The 20,792-nt window shown below is 51.4% G+C and overlaps 2 protein-coding genes across 23 annotated transcripts in view, besides 7 other annotated features; both read right to left on the bottom strand.

The window, feature by feature from the left end:
- Positions 1 to 6,072, bottom strand: part of PPP5C (protein phosphatase 5 catalytic subunit) — a 43,889-nt gene extending 37,817 nt beyond the window's left edge. For both annotated transcript variants that reach the window (NM_006247.4, NM_001204284.2), the window contains exon 1: positions 5,942 to 6,072. In NM_006247.4, coding sequence (NP_006238.1) covers positions 5,942 to 6,062 — 121 coding nt within the window. In that variant the 5' untranslated portion in view covers positions 6,063 to 6,072. The remainder of the gene's footprint in view (positions 1 to 5,941) is intronic.
- Positions 320 to 489: a silencer, noted in NCBI's record as "silent region_10810". NCBI's record gives its function as "represses an Ori minimal core promoter by ATAC-STARR-seq in GM12878 lymphoblastoid cells {active_cell/tissue: GM12878}" and the evidence as "EXISTENCE:reporter gene assay evidence [ECO:0000049][PMID:35858748]".
- Positions 1,611 to 2,412: an enhancer, noted in NCBI's record as "H3K27ac-H3K4me1 hESC enhancer chr19:46854004-46854805 (GRCh37/hg19 assembly coordinates)". NCBI's record gives its function as "activates a minimal SCP1, AML or CMV promoter by ChIP-STARR-seq in primed H9 embryonic stem cells {active_cell/tissue: H9 hESC(primed)}" and the evidence as "EXISTENCE:reporter gene assay evidence [ECO:0000049][PMID:30033119]".
- Positions 2,459 to 2,698: an enhancer, noted in NCBI's record as "active region_14837". NCBI's record gives its function as "activates an Ori minimal core promoter by ATAC-STARR-seq in GM12878 lymphoblastoid cells {active_cell/tissue: GM12878}" and the evidence as "EXISTENCE:reporter gene assay evidence [ECO:0000049][PMID:35858748]".
- Positions 3,099 to 3,158: a silencer, noted in NCBI's record as "silent region_10809". NCBI's record gives its function as "represses an Ori minimal core promoter by ATAC-STARR-seq in GM12878 lymphoblastoid cells {active_cell/tissue: GM12878}" and the evidence as "EXISTENCE:reporter gene assay evidence [ECO:0000049][PMID:35858748]".
- Positions 3,519 to 3,578: an enhancer, noted in NCBI's record as "active region_14836". NCBI's record gives its function as "activates an Ori minimal core promoter by ATAC-STARR-seq in GM12878 lymphoblastoid cells {active_cell/tissue: GM12878}" and the evidence as "EXISTENCE:reporter gene assay evidence [ECO:0000049][PMID:35858748]".
- Positions 5,825 to 5,954: an enhancer, noted in NCBI's record as "active region_14835". NCBI's record gives its function as "activates an Ori minimal core promoter by ATAC-STARR-seq in GM12878 lymphoblastoid cells {active_cell/tissue: GM12878}" and the evidence as "EXISTENCE:reporter gene assay evidence [ECO:0000049][PMID:35858748]".
- Positions 6,055 to 6,234: an enhancer, noted in NCBI's record as "active region_14834". NCBI's record gives its function as "activates an Ori minimal core promoter by ATAC-STARR-seq in GM12878 lymphoblastoid cells {active_cell/tissue: GM12878}" and the evidence as "EXISTENCE:reporter gene assay evidence [ECO:0000049][PMID:35858748]".
- The window catches only part of HIF3A (hypoxia inducible factor 3 subunit alpha), a 46,392-nt gene continuing 35,325 nt past the window's right edge, over positions 9,726 to 20,792 (bottom strand). For 11 of the 21 annotated variants that reach the window (XM_017027132.2, XM_005259152.5, XM_047439216.1 and 8 more), the window contains 2 exons: positions 18,173 to 18,254; positions 9,726 to 13,634 (listed from right to left, as the gene is read on the bottom strand). In XM_017027132.2, coding sequence (XP_016882621.1) covers positions 13,537 to 13,634; positions 18,173 to 18,254 — 180 coding nt within the window. In that variant the 3' untranslated portion in view covers positions 9,726 to 13,536. Of the gene's footprint in view, positions 13,635 to 14,618; positions 14,933 to 18,172; positions 18,255 to 20,792 lie in introns of those variants that run through there. The other 10 variants (XM_017027133.2, XM_017027136.2, XM_047439214.1 and 7 more) reach the window with 3 other exon arrangements.

Here is a 20,792-nt window from a genome sequence, read left to right as displayed (position 1 = left end):
GGTGCTCATTTTACAGACAAGCCATGGAGGTCTTGCTCAAGGTCAAATGCCCTGTCTGCACCTGCAGAGCCAGGCTTGATCCCTCCCTCGTGCCCATTTGACAGGCAGGAGAGCCAAGGCTTAAACAGCCTTAGAGGCTTGTCCCCACTGGGGGCCGTGATGTACCAGAGCCATGCAGGGCTTTAGTACACAGGTCCCCCTTCACTGAACTCTCACAAGCCCAGGGAAACTACATTAACCCCCGTCTCCAAATCTGGGGACTGAAGCTCAGGGAAGAAAGGCCGGTGCTCAAGGTCACACAGCAGGTGACAAGTGGGCCTTCTTTTTTTTTTTTTTTTTGAGATGGAGTCTCGCTCTGTCGCCCAGGCTGGAGTGCAGCGGTGCGATCTCCGCTCACTGCAAGCTCCGCCTCCCAGGTTCACACCATTCTCCAGCCTTAGCCCCCCGAGCAGCTGGGACTATAGGCGCCCGCCACTATACCCGGCTAATTTTTTGTATTTTTAGTAGAGACGGGGTTTCACCGTGTTAGCCAGGATGGTCTCGATCTCCTGACCTCGTGATCCTCCTGCCTTGGCCTCCCAAAGTGCTGGGATTACAGGCGTGAGCCACAGCGCCTGGCCGAGAAGTGGGCCTTCTGAGCCAGGCCAAGACCAAAAGGCTCCCACTCTCACGCCCCATGCCATGGTGACCTCTGGGCAGGAGCGTGGCACAGGGGTAAGCACAGAGGCAGGAGTAGGTGGCCTGGGCCCAGTCCCTAGCTCTGCCTCTTACTACCTGGGTATCCCTGGGCTACTGAGGAACCCCCTGTGGACTAGGGTTTCCTAGAGTCCTTCTACCAGCAGCCCTGCACAGAGTCCCCACCCTCACTCCCATTTTAATGTTCTCAACAGCACTCCGAGAGTCCTTCTTACACACAGCCCTGCCCTCCCAGGGCTTACCATCCAGTGGAGGAGACAGATCCATCCCTAGACAGTGGTGCCCAGTGTTTAGGGTTGGGGCAGCTCGGAGGGGACACTGGGGCTGAGACCTGGAGGATGGGAGTCAGTTGGTTGAAGAGATGGAAGAAGAGAGTCCCAGGCTCCATGAGTGGCTCCAGAGGGAAAGGAAGGAGGGATGCAGAGAGAGATGAGGACTGACATTACAGAAGGGAGAAGCCGGGTCCTGGGGATGTGGCCAGCAACAATCTAACAACATTCCTCTTTGCCACGCCAACTCCTGGCAATCTTTCAAATGCTCACATGTCCCCTCCTCCGGGAAGCCCTCCTTTACTCCCAGGCTGGGTCAGGCCCCCGACTGGGCTGCCCCAGCCCCTGGGATCTCCTGTGCCAGCCCTGTCCACTCTCATCGTCACTGTTGAGTAATGAGTGTGTCCCTCCAGAGCTGTAAGCCCCAGGAGGGCAGGGCCCGGGACTTCCCAAAAACAAACAAGGGCAGAACTGGGCAGCCCAGATCTGACCGACCCTCCCTGGAATGCCAGCGCCTTTGAGGACTCCTTCAGGCCTCCTGGCTGTGGTCCAGAGGCTGCCTGGCCCGCGCTCCTGATGGGGCAGCTGTTACTCCAGTGGCACAGGGAGGGGATCCTGGAGTCTCAGGGCCTGCCACCCGGCTCTGCAGATCTCTAACTCGAGGCTGCAGGCAAATAGCCTCCTCTTTCTGAGCTCTGCCTCACTGGGTGGCCGTGAGGATTTTACGAACTTGTGTAAGAAAACTGGCTGCAGCAAAAGAAGCAGGCAAAAGAAGTGAATGCGTGAATGACTAAATGAAGGGAGGAAGTGAAGGGAACAAGAGGAAATGGGAGGAGCCTGTACTCCACGGGTCGACCCACATGCCATATCCTGGCCCTGTTCTATGCGCTTTACAAACAGGACCATATTTAAGCCTCAAGACATTCCCCATTTTAGATGCAAGGAAACAGAGGCCCAGAGAAGTTAAGTCATTTGCCCAGGCGTCATCAAGCAGGTAAAGGAAGACATAGGGTTTGAACCCAGGCAGCCTGAGCTCTCAACCATGGCCTGCTTCCTCCCCACAAGCTCTTATACCTGGAGCCTCCTTAGGGGTTAAGCATAAGCCCCCACCCCCCATTTTACAGAAGCGGGGCACTGAGGCCCACAGAGAGGGGAAGACAGTTGAGACACTTCCCTTAGACTCAGACATGAGACGGGGGACGAGGCTCTGCCCCCAGGATTTCTGGAATAGGCCTGAACTTACAGAGCAACCAGCCACAGTTGAGGGGACAGTCCTCTGAGCCCTGGGACCTCTCTTCTCCCTGCTGGGGCCCCTCTTCTCCTCAACAGGGCCAGTACAGCTCTGGGAGGAACCTGAACGTGGGAGCCAAGCACGTGGCGAGGAAGGGGATATCCGGGCCCTGCTGCTCACACACTCTGACCTTGGGCGAGTGGTTTTTTCACTTCTCCGAGCCTTGCTTCCTTTATAAAACAAACAGGGCCACTCCTAGCCATCTCCCAGCCCCCGGGGAGGATTAAACCCCACAGCGTACCTGGCCACAAGGCTCAATTAAGGTGAGCTGTCATTATTCTTTTTTATTGTTATTCCCACAGCCCTGGAGCCTGGGGCTCTGTGCCTGCTACTGCCTGACAGACAGCAAGGGGCCTGGGCCAGCAGGGCCGTTCTCCTCCGTGCCAGCTCAGTGCCAGGCCCCTCTGGCTGCCTGCCCAGCCCCAGGACTCCTGAGAGCCTGGATCCCAGGTCCTGGGGGGCAACAGGCTCCTCCCAATGGCTGCTGTGGCCCAGAATTCTGATGCGGCCTCAGCAGCAACCCCCATGCAGGCTGCTCCCATCCCAGGGAATTCCACCTTCCACCCCATCACCTGGCTGAGACAGCCTCATCCTGGACTCCTCTCCATCCCTCAGCCCCCAAAGCCCGGTAGTCACTTCACTTATTCTGCCAAGTCAGCCTCCTGAACATCTCTCAGATTCAGCCACTCCCTTCTCACCCTCCAGCCCCACCCAGCCCTGGTCTGGCCTCTCCTGCCCAGGTTCCTGGCTCAGCCTCCACCTGGCCTCGCAGCCTCTTGTCCTGCCCCTCCAGAGGGGTGTTCCTAAAACACAAACCTGACCCTGTCCTTTCCCTACTCAGAACCTCCCAGGGCTCCCCAGAGCCCCACCCCCCACCGCCACCCCACCCCAGAAAGCCCTGGCTCCTTCCTACAGCCCTGCGCAATCTACTCCCTGCAAACTCATCATAACCTCCTCCAGCCTCCTACGCTGTGGCCCCACTTATGGCCTCCATGCCTGGCTCTGCTCACCTTTGGGCCTTTGCCACCTGTTTTTGTTTTTTTTTTCCCTGCCTGGAGTACCGTCCACCCTCTCTCCAGGCAGCCACTCTCACTTCCTCCCTGAAACACTTCTTGAATCTATTTCTGTCCCTCCAGCCTGGCTGGCGATCACCACCCCTCCTCACCTGTCCACTAATCTAGACTCCTTCCTGTCTTACCCTGGAGTCCAGTCTCTGCATGGCAGCCAGGGATCTTTTCTGAACACTAACTGAACCACAGCACCCCGCTCTTGAAACTTCCCATGGCATCGACCACCCCCAGGATGACACCCATATTCCCCAATCTGACTTCCAAGGTTCTACCTCTGGCCTCATCTCTCACTGGTCCTACCTCCCTCTCACGGCTCCCACCGGATCGAGCTTCTCCACACTTTGCTTCTGCTCCCGTTGGAGGCCAAGTCTCTTCCAGGGCTCCAGACCCTTCCCACCTCCGCCTTCTCCAGGGTTTTGCTGCTGCAAGTCCCCCCTCTCCTGTGCAGAATCAATTCTCCATCTCTATTGGACTCTACTCTCTTCCATCCTTACAAAAAATCCATCTTTCCCTGACACTGCATCTTCTCTCTTTTTTTTTTTCTTGAGACGGAGTCTGTTGCCCAGGCTGGAATGCAGTGGTGTGATCTTGGCTCACTGCAGCCTCTGCCTCCAAGGATCAAGCAATTCTCCTGCCTCAGCCTCCCAAGTAGCTGGGACTACAGGTGTGTGCCACCACACCCAACTAATTTTTTCAGCAGAGACGTCGTTTCACCATGTTGGCCAGGTTGGTCTCGAACTCCTGTGCACGTTCTCGTCTTACCACCCTCCCCCATTTCTCCACTCCCCTTCAGAACCAATACTCCTAACACTTAACATTTGCTGTCTCCACTTCCTCCCCTCCCATTCACTCTTCAGCACCTCCTGGCTGCATCACCCCCATCACTCCCCAATAACTGCTCCTGTCAACATCACTACCAGCATCCATGGAGCCAAAGCCAATGGCCAGTGCTTGCCTTGGCAGCATCGGACTAAAGGCACCAGCTCCTTGTTCTAGAAGCGCTCCCTTCTCTCAGCCTTCCCGACACCTTTCCTGGCTTCCTTTCCACCTCACTAAGTGCTCCTCCTTAGCCTCACCCTCTTCCATTTGGGTTCTGTCCTAAGTCCCCCCTCTAGACCCTCTTACTAGATGATCTCATCCATTCCCAACCATAGTTTGATCACACCCAAATTCTTCTCCAGTCCAGACTGGCCCATTTACTTAATGTGTCTTCTTGTAGGGCTGGGCGTGGTGGCTCATGCCTGTAATCCCAGCACTTTGAGAGGCCGAGATGGGCGGATCACCTGCGGTCAGAGGTTCGACACCAGCCTGGCCAACATGGCGAAACCCCATCTCTACTAAAAGTACAAAAATTATCTGGGCATGGTGGTGTGCGTCTATAATCCCAGCTACTCGGGAGGCTGAGGCAGGAGAATCGCTTGAACCAGGGAGGCGGAGGTTGCAGTGAGCCGAGATTGCGCCATTGCACTCTAGCCTGGGCAAAAAGAGCAAAACTCCCGTCTCAAAAAAAAAAAAAAAAAAAAAATTCCAAACTGGTCTTTGTAATGACTCACGGAGACCCTGCATGATCTGGCCTCTGTCCTAATCTCATCTTGTTATTGGTCTCCCCCTAAGTAGCCAAAGCCCCAGCCATGCCAGTACCCTTTCATTCCCCATCCCAGGGCCTTTGCACAGGCTGCTTTACCTCCCTGGAACACTCCTCTCCAGTTCTCCCTCTGTGAGTTTCAGCTTAAACGCCTCCTGCTCAGTAAGGCCTTCCCCCACTACCCTATCTAAAGTAGCCTCCAACCCTTATTCTCTACTTCATCACACTGCTGGTTTGCTTTCAAAGCACTCATCACAATTTAAGTATTTTACTTATTTACATGGTTTTTTTTTGTTTTTTTTTTTTTCATGTCTGGTTCACCTGCAAAATTACAAGCTAAGGACAGGGCCACATCTGTCTCATTCACTGCTATATCCCCAAAGTCAAGCACAGTCCTTGGCACATAACAGGTACTCAATAAATATTTGTTGAATTAATGAATGAATGGGTGCCCCACACTTGACTCTCAATATTCTAAGTGATACTATTCTTAAGGATCCCCACCCTTACTCCCAAGGCCCCCACCATCACATTCCTTTTCCTCGGGTCAGCCCAAATCTCCTACTTCCTTGTTCCCCCCATCTAATGATCCATTCCCCACCCCCACGATTGCCTTCTCTATTGGGGCTGTGCCCCCTCTACCCCCCACTTGGCGGCACCCACCCCAGGACTCCCCATTTGGTAGCGCCATCAATCACTCCCCCACCACATGTCACTGCCTGGTAGCGCCCTCTACAGGCCTCACGTTTGGTAGCGCCCTCATTCCAGTCCCCCTCTCGCCCCACAATTGGTGGCGCCCTCCTCAGTCTCTCCACTGAGTAGCACCCGCTCCGCACGCCACTCCTAGGTATCACTCTCCGAAGCCCCCTATGTCGCTCCTTGGCAGCGCCATCCTGGGCCTCCCCACGCCCGGTCACTTGGTAGTGTCTGCCCCGCGCCCAGGCTGCAGCTCCGCGTTGCTATGGTTCCGCGCGGGCCCGGCACCCCTCAGCCTGGGCCACTGTCCACCCTCCCTGCCAGGCGGGCGCACCTTTGAAGTAGTCATTGGCCTGAGTCTTGAGCTCCTCTGCCCGCTTCAGAGCTCCATCAGCCGGGGGTTCGTCCCGGGGGGGCTCAGCACACTCAGTCCTCTCGCCCTCCGCCATCGCCATGCCGCAAAGCGACCCCTACCCTGGCAACGGCCGCCAGCGGCACCCGGCCGAACCGTCGCGAAGGAGCGCCGGGTGGCCGCCGCCGCTGCCGCACAAGTGTCGTAAAGCGCGGGCCCTGAAGGCGCCCTTCACGCGCCTGCGCAGGTCCCTTTCGCCACAGAGCGCGCGGAGGACAAGGTGACCAGAGGTTCCCCAGACGGTACCCCTGGTAGAGAGAGCCAATAGGGAATGAGAGAAGGGGCGCGCGGGGAAACAGACCTGGTGTGGCCTCTCCTCCCAAAGTTACCGTGTTCCAAGGCTGTAAAAAGTTTCTCGGTTCTGAAAGTGGGATTTCCCCGCTGTCCTCTAGGGTTGGGGGGTGGGTTGTGAATGTCGCTGGCGGGTGTGGCTGTTTTGCAAGGCAGCGCCATGCCCTACGCGGAGCCGGACCCGGGCGTCGAGCCCTATTGTCGACTACCTGTGTGACCTTGAACAAATCTTCCCTTCCTCTCTAGGGTCTCAGTTACCCATCTCTGAAAAATTAGTGGTTTCTCAAGCCAAAAAGGGTCCAACCTTGAGGGTCAGTGTTTGAGTTTTTAACTGAAGGCACTCTGGATTTCAAGTCCTGAGCAAGGCTTAGAAGTGTGTTGCACCATCTCCTTTCTTCCTGTGTTCAGCTTCCCAAATCCTGAATCTTCAAATAAACTCTCCTGTTTGTGTTTTTACAGATTCTCTTGTCTGAGATCACAGCATTGATTGCATGCACTCTGCCTCCCTCCAGTTTACCCTTCACATTTTTTTTTTTTTTTTTTTTTTTTTGAGAGGGAGTCTCCCTCTGTCGCCCAGGCTGGAGTGCAGTGGCGCCATCTAGGCTCACTGCAACCTCCGCCTCCCGGTTTAAGCGATTCTTCTGCCTCAGCCTCCCAAGTAGCTGGGATTACAGGCGCCCGCCACCATGCCCGGCTAATTTTTGTATTTTAGTAGAAACGGGTTTCACCACGTTGGCCAGGCTGGCCTCGAACTGCCGACCTCAAGCTATCCGCCCGCCTCGGCCTCCCAAAGTGCTGGGATTACAGGCGTGAGCCACCGTGCCCGGCCGAGGGATCTTTCTAAGACATGATAAAACCATGGCACACTCTCGCTCCCAGGCTTCCATGGCCCCAGCACCCTTAGGAGAAAACCCAAACTCCTGATTAGGAGACCCTGAATAGTCTTAACCTCAGGCTGAATAGTCTAATATCCAGATTCCACCCCTTTGCCAATCCCCACCCGCCGTACACGCTTCCAGTCTGTCCTTTCTAAGCCCTCATGTAGCACTAAGTCCTGTAAGGCTCTGGATCCCCTCCTGGAAGCACACTCCTAAACCTATCTATCCCACTCCCAAACCTCTTGTTAGTCCAACCCCATCTCTCCTACTGGCCCCCAGCACAACCAACAATCACCCTAAAGGGCAGATATTAGTATCATCTCCATTTTACAGATAAAGACACAGACTTGCAGAGGTGTTTGACGAAGGTCACAACAACATAAGAAGGTGACAGAGCCAGGATCAGGAATCCCATCTAATTCCTATGTCCTTCATTGCCACTCTACTGCCTCTGTAGGTGCCAGAGCCCATCTTGGTGGGTTAGTAAATTTTTCTTTTGTTTGTTCGTATTGTTTGTTTTGGGGTTGGGGGAAAAGGAGCTGCCATAGTGGATTTGAATTCTGGTTTCGAGTCCAGCGGAATCCTTCCTGACACTGTGACCTTGGGCAAGTGATCACCCTCTTCTAAGCCTCAGTTTCAACCTCTGTAAAGTGGGGATAATAATTATCCCCATCATACAGGATTAGAGGAGAGTTCGACAACATGAGTACAGCATTTGTCAGGGAGCCTGACACAGAGTAGTACTTTTATATTCACTCCATCACAAATACTCAAAGTGGGCTGGGTATGGTAGCTCATGCCTGTAATCGAAGCACTTTGGGAGGCCAAAGCAGGCAGATCACTTGAGGTCAGAAGTTCAAGACCAGCCTGGCCAACATGGCAAAACCCCGTCACTACCAGAAATACAAAAATTTAGCTGGGCATGATGGTGCGCACCTATAGTCCCAGTTATTAGGGAGGTTGAGGCAGGAGAATTGCTTGAACCTAGGAGGCGGAGGCTGCAGTGAGCCGAGATCGCGCCACTGCACGACAGCCTGGGCTACAGAGTGAGACTCTGTCTCAAAAAACAAATAAAACAAAACAAATATTCAGAGTTGGGCAGAGTGCCTAGTGCTGTGATGGGAGGGGGCTTCCAAGGGGAGCTTTTAGGGGCACTTTACCCAATTGGAGCAGGCAGGGAAGGCTTCCTGGAGTAGCTGTTACCTAAACCAAGATGTGAAATATGAGTAGGAGGTAACCAAGTGAGGGGAGAGGGGAAGGGAGAGAGGCATTTCAGGCAGAAGAATAGGAAGTGCAAAGGCTTGAGAGTGTTTTTCTTCCCTTGAAGAGATTCCTATGTGCAACCCTGTATGGGGGGTTATGAGAGTGACGTACATGACAACAGACACACCCACCTGCACATGAGTCCATGGACACACACTCTTGCACACACATGCTCACTTAACTATGGGCAATCATGTCACACACACATTGGTACCCAGAATTATAGCATCAAGCAGTCCCACACATGTACACAGAATCACATCATACAGACATACATAGGCAAAAAAAAAAAAAAAAAATCACAGCACCTTCCACACTCAGAAACACAGAAACCCAAAATAACCAGAAACACACATAAGGCAGAATCACTTCACCCAGATACTAATATGCACTTGTAGAAGGAATCACAACCCCACCCACCTGCTGCAACACAGGTTCACAGAATGTGACAAAGACCCATACACATACACAGAATGACACTGTGCACACACTCGTGTGCATGCACACACACACACACATACAGATACACAGAATCAGAAAGTAACATGGGGCTGGTGCAGTGGCTCAAGCCTATAATCCTAGAACTTTGGGAGGCTGAGGCAGGAGGATCGCTTAAACCCAGGAGTTTGAGACCAGCCTGGGCAACATGGTAAGGCTCTGTCTCTACAAAAAAATGAAAATAATTAGCTGGGCCTCGTGTCATGCACCTGTAGTCCCAGCTACCGGGAAGGGTGAGATGGGAGGATTGCTTGAGCCCAGGAGGCTGCAGTGAGCCGTGATCACACCACTGCACTCCAGCTTGGGTGAGATAGTGAGACCCTGTCTCGAAAGAAAGAAAGGGCCTGGCATGGTGGCTCATGCCTGCAATCCCAGCACTTTGGGAGGCCGAGGCGGGCAGATTACCTGAGTTCAGGAGTTCGAGACCAGCCTGACCAATGTGGTGAAACCCCATCTCTATTAAAAACACAAAAATTAGCTGGGTGTGGTGGCACATGCCTGAAATCCCAGCTACTTGGGAGACGGAGGCAGGAGAATCGCTTGAACCTGGGTAGTGGAGGTTGCAGTGAGCAGAGATTGTGCCACTGCACTCCAGCCTGGGCAACAGAGTGAGACTCCAAGAAAAAAAAAAAAAGAAAAGAAAGAGAGAGAGCGGAAGGAAGGAAGGAAGGAAGGAAGGAAGGAAGGAAGGAAGGAAGGAAAAAAAAAAAGACACTCAGCCACCAGTGCACCCACACTCCCAGAGGAGATCCAAAAGATGAGTCAACACGCAGAGCTCTGGTGCCTACCAAGGTGAGGTCTTTATGGTGTATAGAGATTGGTGAGTTTCAGAGCCAGTGTGGCCAGTCTAGTCCCTCCCCTTTCCCTAGCCCAGCACAATTCCCTCCATTGAGGGCCCACATCACCTCCAGAGGGAGGAGGGAGGGGTCAGACCCCCCCATAGCACCAATCTGGATAGGCCACTCTCTGACAAAACAGAGCGAGCAGTGCCTTCCACAAACGGGGTAAATGGGGCTAAGAAGGGGGGAGGCCTTTTCCTGTGGGAGACCAAGAGTAGCACCATCTGTAGAAAGAAAGCTGGGGGGTAAGGGAGGCACATAGATGGTGGCAGACAGCTGAGGGGTCCTGGCTTCTCTCCCCACCTGGCAATATGCAGACAGCACCGTGCCTGTGCATGTGCCTGTGTGGCTGGAGAAGTCTTCAGATTGCAAACCACCCAAGGGGTGAGGGAGCCCCAGGTGCCCCAAACATGTGGGGTAAAGTCAAGGTAAGTGCATGTCTGGAGGGCTGGGGTGGGAAGTGGAGGGGGTTCTGGGGCACAGAGATTGTAGGCAATGAGAATGGAGAGGCATGAAGTCCAGGAGCAGCACAGCCTAGAGGGTAGGGGTTTAGAATGGGAAAACTTAAGACTGAAAGAAGGAATTGGGTAAGTTCAGTGGGGTGGGAAGCCCAGAATAGATTTAGGAGGCTGGGGTCTGGAATTAGGGAGTTGAGGTTATAAGATTCAGAACCAGAGGAATCTTTAGGGAAAAGTCTAGATTCCAGAATCAGAAGCATTTGGAGGCTGAATTATAGAATCAGAGGAATTTGGATCTGAAATCAAAGGCAGTTGGAAGCTGTGAGGCTTAGAAGCAGAGGAATTTATAGAATAAAGCATAGAATTAGAAAAAGCCTGGCTGGGCTCAGTGGCTCATGCCTGTAGTCCCAGCACTTTGGTGAGGCCAAGGAGGGAGAATTGCTTGAGCTCAGTAGTTCGCGACCAGCCTGGGCAACATGGTGAAACCCCGTCTCTATTTTTTTTTTTTTAACAAAAAAAAGGAAAAACAAAAGCCTAAAATCTGAGTTCTAGAACCAGAGAGATTTGGGAACCATAAGATCTAGAATCAGAAGGAGTTGAGGGTGGTAAGATCTAAAACCAGAGAAATGTATAAGGCAAAGTCTAAAATCAGAAGATATTTGAAGGCTGAATTCTAGACCCAGGGTAATTTGGAGTCAGATCTTGAGTGAGGAGGAGCTGGAAATGATGAAGTCTAGAGCCAAGGGAACTTACGGAATGAGGTCTAGAATCAGAAGGCACTTGTAAGTCAGTTCTAGAACCAGAGAAACAGCAGATCACCAGATCTTGAATCAGGACCCTGGAGGTGGCACCTTCTAGAAGTTGTGTAGTCTGGAACTAGTGAGTGGTACAGGTCATGAGGTTCAGAATCTAGGAGAACTAGAGCATCGTCTGGTTCTAGAAGAACTGGTTATTATAAGATAAGGACAGGGTCGGGCACGGTGGCTTATGCCTGTAATCCCAGCACTTTGGGAGGCTGAGGCGGGTGGATCATCTGAGGTCAAGAGTTCAAGACCAGCCCCTCCAACTTGGCAAAACCCCGTCTCTACTAAAAAATACACAAAGGTAGCCGGATGTGGTGGTGGGCTCCTGTAATCCCACCAATTTAGGAGGCTGAGGCAGGAGAATCACTTGAATCAGGAGGCGGAGGTTGCAGTGAGCCTAGATGGCACCATTATACTCCAGCCTGGGCAACAGAGAGAGACTCCATCTCAAAAAAGAAAAAAAAAAAAAAGAAGAGGAAGAAAAAAGAGATAAACACATCAAACTCTCTGTACTTGTTTTTGATGAGAGAAAATGAGTCTTGGTTATAGAGAACTGCAGAAGAATAAGCTGAGCCTCATAAGGTCTAAAACAAAAGTGATTTAGAAATTAAGAAGTCTGGCCAGGCTCACTCCTGTAATTTCAGCACTTTGGGAGGCTGAGGCGGGTGGATCAGTTGAGGTCGGGAGTTCAAGACCAGCCTGGCCAACATGGTGAAACACTGTCTCTACTAAAAATATAAAACTTAGCTGGGCGTGGTGGCACATGCCTGTAATCCCAGCTATTTGGGAGGCTGAGGCCCAAGAATTGCTTGAACCCAGGAGGTGGAGGCTGCAGTGAGCCGAGATTGAGCCACTGTACTCCAGCCTGGGTGACAGAGTGGGACTCTGTCTCAAAAAAAAAAAAAAAAAAAGAGAGAGATTAAGAGGTCTGGATTTGGAACCAAATGTATTACCGATCAGGAGAACTGGAACCAATAGGAAGCTTGGAGTTGTGGGGTCCAGAACCAGAGGAAATCACTGAATATAAGATCTGGAACCGGAGGGCGTTGGAGGGTGTGAGATCTAAAACAAGAGGGATTAATTTATAGGAAGAGGTCTAGAACCAGAGGAAGTTAGTGAATTCTAGAACCAAAAGAATCTGGTAGTCATAGACTATAGAGCCAGAGGGAGTTAGAGGCCCAGAACCAGACAATTTTTGGGGATCGTAAGGTTTGAAAACAGGCAGAATGAGAGGCTGGTGAGGCCCAGAACTAGAAAGAGCTGAAGACGGTGAAATTCGAAGCAGAGGGATTTGGAGAAAGTGAGTTCTAGCCGGGTGCAGTGGCTCACGCCTGTAATCCCAGCACTTTGGAAGGCTGAGGCAGGTGGAGCACTTGAGGTCAGGAGTTCGAGACCAGACTGGACAACGTGGTGAAACCCCATCTCTACTAAAAATACAAAAATTAGCCGGGCAATGTGGCACATGCCCGTAGTCCCGGCTATTTGGGAAGTTGAGGCAGGAGAATCACTTGAACCCAGGGCGCGGAGGCTGCAGTAAGCTGAAATCGCGCCACTGCACTCCAGCCTGGGTGACAGAGCAAGACTCTGTCAAAAAAAAAAAAGAAGAAGAAGAGGAAGAGGAGCAGGAGGAAGAGGAAGAGGAAGAAGGAAGAAGAAGAAGGTGATCTAAAGCAGACCACATTGGAGGTTGTGTGGTCTAGAACCAGTGCAGGTCAGAGGTTATACAGTCTGGAACTGGAGCAGGTTGGAGGTTGCATAGTTTGGAAGCAGAGGAACTGGGAGGCTGCCCCTGAAGTAGGAGGACCATGAATGAAGTCAGTGTCCAGGCAAAGCTGGGGGCGGCAGGAAGCCCAGAGCGCAAGGGGCAGTCAGAGCTGGCGGGCAGCTTGGGGTCTTTGGCCTCAATCGGAAGTCACTGGGGGTGAGGTCTGGCCCAGAGCCTCTCCGCACTGACACCTGAAGAGGGGGAAGATCAGAGTCCCACATTCTTACAGACCCCAGGCAATTCATCATGATTAAAAACCATATCATGAAATTGACAAAAATAAAAATAATAATACAAGAAGGATAGAAGGAAATGTGATCACGTTGACCCGTGGATCATTGTTCTCCCCAGAACCTGGAAACACAGATATGACCCCCCCAACCCTCCTCACCCCTGATTCCCCAAAATAAAGCCAAGAGAGGCAGAGAAAGGGATAATGAGGTAACCAAGTATTGAGAACCCCAAGAGAAATCCTGAGAGAAGGAGGAGGGGGCCAGGGACCACCTCCCAGAGGTCACTGAGCTGAGACCACCCCAGAGAGCCCCCAGATTGGGAGCAGGCAGAGGGGTGAGGGCTGAGGTAGGCCCGAGGTGGGCAGGGGGTACATAGAGGAGAGAGGGGCCCCTCTCCTGGCGCCCCCATCCTGTGCGTTGGCTGCCGGCGTGGAGTGTGGTTGAGGTCCTTTCTGGGGGAGGAGAAGGCAGATGGGGAGAGGAGCCGGCTCAGTCAGCCTGGGCTGAGCCTGCCCTTGGCTGGAAGGGGCCCCCGGGCTGGGTAGTGTCCTCGTCTGAGTACGGAGAGAGCAGTGAGGGGCCCAGGCCTGCAAAGATGAAAGATAAATGATAAATGAAAGGTAAAAGACGAAAGATAAATCACAGGACAACCATAACCCCAATGTCAGGAATAATGTTTAAAATCTTAAGGAAATTGAACACTCGAACAAAGGATTTTTAGTAATTTTACTTTTGCGCAGAGGGGTGCCTCTTTGGCTAGTTGCCATGAGAGCACACTGGAACAAAGGGGCACAAGAGCCTTTATTTTTGACGCAAGTCTTGTTTTTGTACTTTTTTTTTATTGGCTGGGGTCGGGTTATACAATTTAAACTAATTTCGGTTGGCTAAACATTTGATTTTTTTTTAGATAAGGTGGACACGTAAAAGAAAGCAGAGAGGAAAGGGGAAGGGGTGTCTGTGATGAGTTAGAAAGTTAGTCCTTTTTTTAAATAAGGAAAGGAATGTGAGCTGGTATTGATAACGCCTGGTATTGTGGCGTGTCTGGGCATTTAACAAAGGCAAAAAGGAAAAGAGGAGAAGAAGGGAAAAAGGTGGGGGGTACTATCAATTAAAGAATAAAAGATTGATCGGGTTATTTGAAGAGAAACCTCATCATATCCCACACCAACCCGTCTCCCCTTCCTGGCAGTTAAAAGCCTGGGTGGTGAGGCAAGCCTGTCTGGATTCAAACGGCAGTGACGTCTTGGGCACGTTCTGCTCTCTGAACCTCTCTGGGGTGTTCAGGGCTGCGGTGAAGAACCCGAGTCCAGAGTCAGATGCTGCCCTAGTTTGAATCCAGGCATTGCTATTTACTTGCTGTGTGACCTGGGGCAGGTGGCTTCATCTCTCTGTGCCTCAGTTCCCTCATCTGTAAGACGGGCTAATAACAGCACCTCCCTCTTGATTTACTCCTCTGTTGTGAGGAATAAATGAGTAAATCCATGGAAGGTGTTTTGAACCATAACTAGTACTGGTGAGAAAGCAGTTAAGTCAGCTGTTGTTACTTGGGAAACCAGGATACTCACACATACTTCATTTATGAGAGTTTATTCATTCAAAACATATTTACTGTCGGGCGTGGTGGTTCATACCAGTAATCCCAGCACTTTGGGAGGCCAAGGCAGGTGGATCGCTTGAACTCAGGAGTTCAAGACCAGCCTGGGCAACATGGTGAAACCTCGTCTCTACAAAACATATAAACATCAGCCAGGCATGATGGCACATAGCTGCAGTCCCAGCTACTTGTGGGAGCTGAAGTAGGAGGATCACTTGAGCCCAGGAGGTCGAGGCTGCGGTGAGCTGTGTTTGTGCCACTGCACTCCAGACTGGGTGACAAAGTGAAAACCTATCTCAAAAACAACAAAAAACCCAACATGTTTACTGAGCACCTACTTTGTGTCAGGCACTGTGCCAGGTGCTAGAGACACAGCAGTGACCAGGATGGATGAATCTCCCTGCCCTTATGGGACCGACACTCCAGTGAGAAGCGCCAATTGGATCAGGTGCATAGAGGATTTAGCACAAAGCTAGGCACAGTGCGAGTGCGTGAATCTTAGCTCCTCATTCACAAATATGTGCTGAGAACTTCCTCTGTGCTTAGCCACCGCCCACCCATGTGCACAAAGAAGAGAACAGCAGGGACCCAGACAGCCCTGGCCCCTGCCCTTGAAGGTCTCATACCCAAAGGAGAAGACAGACAGTCATCAAATTATGACACAAAGGCCTGTGTAATTATGGAGTGTTATAAACCATGAGCGTATGAAGTTAGGCAGGGCTTTGTGTAAGGAGTAATATTTGGTTTGAGATCTAAAGGATGTGGTAACATGGCAAAGAACAGAGGGAAAAGTATGCCAGGCAGAAGGATCAGGATATGCAAAGGCCCTGAGGCAGCCTCCTCAAGCAAGGTGACTTCAAAGCCATCACAATGCCCCACAGAGGCTCCATGCAGTCAGCCCTCACCTTTCTCTCCTCTCTGCTTCAGCTACATTGGCCTTGCTTTTCCCCAAAGAAGACAGAGACAGCCAGGCACAATCTCAGCACTTTGGAAGGCTGAGGCAGGAGGATCACTTGAGCCCAGGAGTTTGAGACCAGCCTGAGCAACATAGCAAGACCTCTTTCTCTACAGAAATTAAAAAATTAGCCAGACGTAATGAAGCGCACTTGTAGTCCCAGCTACAAGTGTAGTCCCAGCTACTTGGGAGACTGAGATGGGAGGATCGCTTGAGCCCAGGAGTTCAAGGCTGCAGTGAGCTGTGATCGCACCACTGTGCTCCAGCCTGGGCAACAGAGCAAGACACACCCTGTCCCCCCACACCCCAAAAAAGATAGATACAGTCCCCACCTAAGGGCCTTTGCACTTGCTGTTCTCTCTGCCTGGGACACTCTTCCCCCCGATATCGTCAGGACTCACTCCAGGTCTTTGCTCAGCTATCACCTTCTCAATGAAACCACCCTGATCATACTGTTTAAAACTGAAATCCCCCTACTCCAAACCTTTTTCCTTGCATGCATTATTTCCCCGTTACACTTATTTTCATCTCCCACTCTTTTTTGTTCATTTGTTTATATTTATATTTATATTTTTTGAGACAGAGTCTTGCTGTGTTGCCCAGGCTGCAGTACAATGGCGTGATCTCAGCTCACTGCAACCTCTGCCTCCTGGGCTCAAGTGATTCTCCTGTCTCAGCCTCCCGAGTAGTTGGGATTACAGGCGCCTGCCAGTGTGCCTGGCTAATTTTTGTATTTTTAGTAGAGACAGGGTTTCACCATGTTGGCCAGGCTGGTCTTGAACTCCTCACCTCAGGTGGTCCGCCTGCCTCAGCCTCCCAAAGTGCTAGGATTCCAGGCATGAGCCACTGCACCTGGACTGTTTGTTTAGAGACAGGGGCCTGGTGCGGTGGCTCACGCCTGTAATCCCAGCACTTTGGGAAACTGAGATGAGTGGATCGCTTGAGCTCAGGAGTTCAAGACCAGCCTGGGCAACGTGGTGAAATTCTGTCTCTACTAAACACACACACACACACGCACACAAACACACAAAGTCAAGTGTGCTGGTGCCCACCTGCAGTCCCAGCTACTTGGGAGGCTGAGGTGGGAGGATCGCTTGAGCCCGGGGACACAGAGGCTGCAGTGAGCTGACAGTGCACCACTGCACTCCAGCCTGAGTGACAGAGCGAGACCCTTCTCAAAAAAAAGAGAAAGCCTGTAATCCCAGCACTCTGGGAGGCCGAGGTGGGCGGATCATGAGGTTAGGAGATTGAGACCATCCTGGCTAACATGGTGAAACCCTGTCTCTACTAAAAATACAAAAAATTTGCCAGGCGAGGTGGCGGGCGCCTGTAGTCCCAGTTACTCGGGAGGCTGAGGCCAGAGAATGGCGTGAACCTGGGGGCAGAGCCTGCAGTGAGCCAAGATCGCACGGCTGCACTCCAGCCTGGGTGGCAGAGCGAGACTCTGTCTCAAAAAAAAAAAAAAAAAAAAAAAAAAGAGAGAGAGAGAGAAAGAAAATAAAAATGTGAAAATAAATAAATAGAGACAGGATCTCGCCCTGTCACGCAGGTTGGAGTACAGTGGTGCAGTCACAGCTCACTGCAGCCTCGAACTCCTGGGCTTAAGCAATCCTCCCGTCTCAGCCTCCCAAGTAACTAGGACAACAGGTGCGTGCCACCACACTCACCAGGTTTTTAAAAATTTTTTGTAGAGACGGGGTTTTGCCATGTTTCCCAGGCTGGTCTCGAACCCCTGGTCTCAAGTGATCCTCCCCTCCATAGCCTCCCAAAACACTGTGATTACAGGCAGGAAACACTCACCCTGCCCTCTTGCACTCTTTTTTATTTGAGACAGGGTCTCGCTGTGTTGCCCAGACTGGAATGCAGTGGCACCATCATAGCTCACTGCAGCCTTGAACTCCCAGGCTCAAGTGACCCTCCCACCTCAGCCTCCAGAGTAGCTGGAACTATAGGCATGCACCACCATGCCCAGCCAATTAAAAAAAAATTTTTAGGCTGGGTGCAGTGGCTCACACCTGTAATTCCAGCACATTGAGAGGTCAAGGCAGGCAGATCACCTGAGGTCAGGAGTTCGAGACCAGCCTGGCCAACATGGCGAAACCTCATCTCTACTAAAAATACAAAAATTAGCCAGGTGTGGTGGCACACACCTGTGATCCCAGCTACTTGGGAGGCTGAGGCAGGAGAACCACTTGAACCTGGGAGGCGGAGGTTGCAGTGAGCCGAGATCATGCCACTGCACTCCAGCCTGGGCGACAAGAGTGAGACTTCATCTCAAAAAATAAATAAATAAATAAATAAATAAATAAATAAATGTGATCATAGGCGTGCAGGCTCCAGAGACCTAGGCTCGGGCTTCCACCCCAAAAGGCAGCCTTGGAGAGCCCCTGCCTCCCTTAGGGGCTCTCTCCTCCACAGTGCCCATGAGAAGAGAGAAGAGACAGGAGCTGCCGTTTCCACCAAGGTCACCTCCAAGCACTGACAGTCCCCCAGCACCTTTGGAATGGCTCCATCCCTCTCGCACCTCCCGGGGGAGAAGGTGCTCTGGGGCTCTGGATACCCAGGTTGCTACTCACCCAGGGGCTCATTCAGGTTCAGGAGTGGGGTGCTGGGGTCCTGCAGGCTCCCTGGGGCTGGTCCTCCTGTCAGAAGGAAACTCTGTGGGAGAGAGACAAAGCCACCACCATCATCATCATCATTAGTATCCAAGGAACAGCCGGGAGTGGTGACTGTAATCCCAGCACTTTCGGGGGCTGAGGCCAGAGGATTGGGAGGATCACTTAAGCCCAAACGTTTGAGACCAGCCTGGGCAAGATAGTGAGATCTCATCTCTACAAAAATTTAAAAATTAGCTGGGTGTGATGGCATGTGCCTGTAATCTTAGTTACTTAGGAGGCTGAGGTGAGAGGATCCCTTGAGACCAGGAGGCTGAGGTTGCAGTGAGCTATGATCGTGTCACTGCATTCCAGTCTGGGTGACAGAGATCCTATCTCTAATAAAAATAAAAATAAAAGTAAAATAAAAATAAGGGCAAGTGCAGTGGCTCATGCCTGTAATTCTAGTGCTTTTGGAAGGCCAAGGTAGGAGGATCACCTGAGGTCAGGAGTTTGAGATCAGCCTGGGCAACATAATGAGACCCTATCTCTACAAAAAAATTTAAAAAATGAAATAAGCTGGGCATGGCGGCTCACGCCTGTAATCCCAGCACTTTGGGAGGCTGAGATGGGTGGATCATTCGAGGTCAGGAGTTCGAGACCAGCCTGGCCAACATGGTGAAACTCCATCTCTACTAAAAATACAAAAATTAGCAGGGTGTGGTTGCGCATGTCTGTAATCCCAGCTACTTGGGAGGCGGAGGTAGGAGAATTGCTTCAACCTGGGAGGAGGAGGTTGTAGTGAGCCAAGATCGTGCCACTGCACTCTAGCCTGGTAGACAGAGTGAGACTCCATCTCAAAAAAGAAAGAAAAGAGGCCGGGCGCGGTGGCTCACGCCTGTAATCCCAGCACTTTGGGAGGCCGAGTTGGGCGGATCACGAGGTCAGGAGATTGAGACCATCCTGGATAACACGGTGAAACCCTGTCTCTACTAAAAATACAAAAAAAATAACCAGGCGTGGTGGCAGCTGCCTGTGGTCCCAGCTACTTGGGAGGCTGAGGCAGGAGAATGGCGTGAACCCGGGAGATGGAGTTTGCAGTGAGCCGAGATCGCGCCACTGCACTCCAGCCTGGGCGACAGAGTGAGACTCTGTCTCAAAAAAAAAAAAAAAAAAAAAAGAAAGAAAGAAAAGAAAGGAAAGGAAAAGAAAAGAAAAGAAAAAGAAAGGAAGGAAAAAAATATATATCCAAAGACAAGATGGTGCAGTAGTTAAGGGATGCTGAGGTCCAGTGGCCACCCATTTGTGGTGTGACTTTGGGTCAGTCCCTGTCCAGTCATCCTACTTGTGTTCCTCCAGGGCCTCATCCCCCTTCTCCTTCTTCCTTCGCCCGAGGACCTGTACACAGAGACCGTGACAGCATGCAACTTTGCTCCGTGTGATCCTGTTGGTTAGCTCATGGGAGACACCAGCAGGTAGGGTATTTATTCTTCTCTGTGAGTTGGCGGTGTCCCTCCATGGAAGGTTTCAGCCCTCATTAGCTGGACTCCACTCGCTGCAGGATCCAGTGACCACCCCGCCCTGCACCTTCAGGCCAGGGCTGATGCCCACTTCCCATGCTGTGCCCCAAGGTACTGCACCAGGCTTGCTGATTTCCCTACACTATGTTAACACCTTTTTCAACAGTCCTGTTATTAAATTCTCCTCAACACTCCCTCTGAGTGTGCTGCCTTTCCTGTGCAGACTCTGATACAGTTGTTTAACTTCTTCTGTGTAAGTGTGTATAACAGTAACAAGAACATTTCAATAGTAGTTGTGGGGATTAAATAAGTTAATCATGCAAGGAATTTAGTGCAGTTAGTGTCTGGCACATGGTAGGCACTTAATAAGTGTAAGCTGTTATATATGTATATACACATATATACATATATATACACACATATATACATATATATATATAGAGAGAGGTTGTTTTTTTTTTTTTTCTGAGAGGGAGTTTCACCCTGTCCTCCAGGCAGGAGTGCAATGGCGCGATCTCGGCTCACTGCAACCTCTGCCTCCAGAGTTCAAGCAATTCTTGTGCCTTAGCCTTCCGAGTAGCTGGCACTATAGGTGTGCACCTACACCCGGCTAACGTTTGTATTTTTAGTAGAGACAGGGTTTCACCATGTTGGCCAGGCTGGACTTGAACTCCAGACTTCAAGTGATTATCCCGCCTCATCCTCCCAAAGTGCTGGGATTACAGGCGTGAGGCATTATGTCTGGCCTGTAAACTGTTATATTATCAACCACATCTCATATTCAAACAACCCTTTGCAGAGTGAAGAACCAGGGCACTGCTGTAAGCACTAGAGGGCCATGAAAGGTCCTAGAGGGAGGCCTTGCAGAAGTGACATAGTCCAGGCTGGCTTTTTTATTTTTATTTTTTTGAGACAGCGTCTTGTGCTGTCATCTAGGCCGGAGTGCAGTGGCACGATCATGGCTCACTACAGCCTTGACCTCCCAGGCTCGGGTGATGCTTTCACCGCAGCCTCCTAAGTAGCTGGGACTACAGGCACATGCCACCACACCCGCTTAAATTTTAATTTTTTTTTTTTTGTAC

This window comes from Homo sapiens, chromosome 19, assembly GCF_000001405.40.
Source record: "Homo sapiens chromosome 19, GRCh38.p14 Primary Assembly".
Classification (NCBI taxonomy): domain Eukaryota; kingdom Metazoa; phylum Chordata; class Mammalia; order Primates; family Hominidae; genus Homo; species Homo sapiens.
This window is presented reverse-complemented; position numbering and strand designations above follow the sequence as displayed.